General features: G+C 59.3%; 1 pseudogene; it reads left to right on the top strand.

Annotated features, from left to right (window-relative positions):
* The first annotated feature begins 1,050 nt into the window (after window positions 1-1,050).
* On the top strand, window positions 1,051-2,345 carry LOC101060104 (translation initiation factor IF-2-like; annotated as a pseudogene).
* The last annotated feature ends 250 nt before the right edge of the window (window positions 2,346-2,595 follow it).

The raw sequence follows: 2,595 nt of genomic DNA, 5'->3' as shown, positions 1-2,595 counted from the left end.
GTGGTGGTGGGTAGCATGAAAATTATGCACAAACCTTTTTTTTTTTTTTAACCTCATCAGCTGTTGTTAGCATTAGTGTATTTTATGTGCAGCCCAGGAGCATTCTTCTTCCAATGTGGCCCTGAGAAGCCAAAAGACTGGACACCTGTGCACTAGATCAAAAGGCTACTCCTTCTGGAAGCAATTGTAAAGAATTTCTGACATAATCTTGACATGAAAACCAATGGATAGTGGGACAGAATGCAAAATGTTGAAGAATTTTTCTTGTCTTTTTTTTTTTTTGAGTCACGGTCTTGCTCTGTGGCCCAGGCTGGAGTACACTGGTGAGATCACAGCTCAGTGCAGGATCAAGTGCTCCTCCCGCCTCAGCCACAGTAGTAGCTGGGACTACAGATGCGCACAACCACCCCTGGCTAATATTTTCTTTTTTGTAGAGATGGGGTCTCACTATATTGTCCGGGTTGGTCTCAAACTCCTTGACTCAAGGGATCCAGGAAAGGATAACAGGTGGGAGCCACCACACCTGGCTATGTGCATGAACTTTTAAGACAAACACAGGGCCCCACAAAAGTTAAGGTTTTTCCCACCTAATTTCCAGGGGGATCTTTTGGGGCACAGCTGAGAAGCCCTTAAAAGTACACAGACAACTCCAAAGATTCAAGACAGTTCATTCGGGCTGAGCCAGCCCACTGGGCAGACTGACCTTCAAAAAAGACCCACCCATGACATACACCAGATGGCTCTCCAAGAATCCCTTCAGTCCTCAGGGTCCCTAACGTACTGGACAGAGCTAGGAAAGCAAACCCATTTGCTTCTTCCTGCAGGAAACCCCTTGAGGTTAAGACCCCACAATCACATGAGGATGGAGTGGCTCACCCTCAGTCAACAGGCCAGACTCAAGGTGGTATAATGTCTTACCTAAGGGTGGGGGCCTCCAGGTCTGACTCCCAACTCAGTTCTTCTTTAATAACCACACTTTGTTAATTTTCCTTAACAGGGGTTCCTGGCAAGTCATTTCTCCCTCAGGCCTTCGGTTTCCTCACCTACAAGATGAGAGGGCTGGACCAGATGGAAATTCAGGGGGTAAGGGGATGTCCTCGCGCAGCCCACCCCCACCCCCACGGGACCCTGGAGCCTCCATCCCAGTTCCCACCACGCACCTGCTCCACAAATCCTGCCCAAGGTGAGGGCTGGTCCCGGGTCCTCTGGCTGCCGCGTCAGCGAGTGCAGGAGGGAGGGGAAGCCTCCAAGGGGGTGACGTGGGCTCAAGGATGCAACTCAGCCAGGAGTGAACTGGGGCCCCGAAGGAGGTGTCCAGGCCACTCCTGGAGCCCAGCCCGGGTCCCCGAACCCCTTACCTCCAGGGTCTGTATCTCCTGCTGGGTGAGGTCATTGGACACAGCGCACTTGGTGCACAGCCCGCACAGGCTGCCAATGAAGATGACGATGAGCTTCTGGAGCTGCCCGCACTGCTGCAGCGCCCGGCTGGCCGCAGCCCCTGCGCCACCCTCCGTGGCCGCCGCATCACCCCCGCCACCGCCCTCCTTATTCTCTCCCATCGCCTCCGCAGGCAGCGCCACTCTATGCAGGCCACAGGGGCCTAGGCAAGGAGCCCGGGGCGCCGGCGCCTAGGCAAGGAATCCCTGAGCCAGGAGAGCTGGACCAGGAGCACCCCTGGTCGCTGCCCTTGCCAGGACGCCAGTAGAGCCGGCAGCCGAGTCTGCTGCTCCCGCCCTCAGAGCCGCGGCGGCGGGGACAAAAATCCTCGGCGGCGGGGGCAAAAAGTCGCGGTGGCAAAAAGCGGCGGCGACGGGGGCAAAAAGTCGCGGCAGCAAAAAGCCGCGGCGGCGGGGACAAAAAGCCGCGGCGGCGTGGGGGCAGAAAGCCACGGCGGGCAAAAAGCCGCGGCGGCAAAAAGCCATGGCGGCGAGGGTGCAAAAAGCTGTGTCGGCGGTGGGGCAAAAAGCCTGGTCGGGAAAAAAGCCGCGGCAGCGGCGAAGGGCAAAAAGCCGCGGCGGCGGAGGGCGAAAAGTCGCGGCGGCGGGAGGAAAAAAGCCGCGGAGGTCAAAAAGCCGAGGCAGGGTGGGGGCAAAAAGCCGAGGCGGCGGGGGGTAAAAAGCCGAGGCGGGGTTGGGGCAAAAAGCCGCGGCGGGTAAAAAGCCGCGGGGGCAGGGGGGAAAAAGCCGCGGCGGCGGCGGGGTGCAAAAAGCGGCGGGGGGCAAAAAGCCGCGGCGGTGGGGGGGCCAAAAAGCCGCAGCGGGCAAAAAGCCGCGGCGGCGGGGGACAAAAAGCTGCGGCTGGTGAAAAGCCGCGGTGGCGGGGGGGCGAAAAGCCGCGGCGGGTAAAAAGCCGCGGGGGCAGGGGGGAAAAAGCCATGGCAGCGAAAAAGCCGCGGCGGCGGGGGGGGCAAAAAGCGGCGGGGGGCAAAAAGCGGCAGGGGGCAAACAGCCGCTGCACCAGTTGGGGGAAAAAGCCGCGGCGGGCAAAAAGCCACGGCGGCAAAATTCGCAGAGGCGAAGGTCAAAAAGCCGCGGTGGTCAAAAAGCCTTGGCGCTTGGGGGGCAAAAAGCCGCGGCGGGCAAAAAGCGGAGGCGC

This window comes from Homo sapiens, chromosome 16, assembly GCF_000001405.40.
Source record: "Homo sapiens chromosome 16, GRCh38.p14 Primary Assembly".
Classification (NCBI taxonomy): Eukaryota; Metazoa; Chordata; class Mammalia; order Primates; family Hominidae; genus Homo; species Homo sapiens.
Note: the sequence above shows the minus strand (reverse complement) of the source record. Positions and strands in the feature narration are given on the sequence as shown.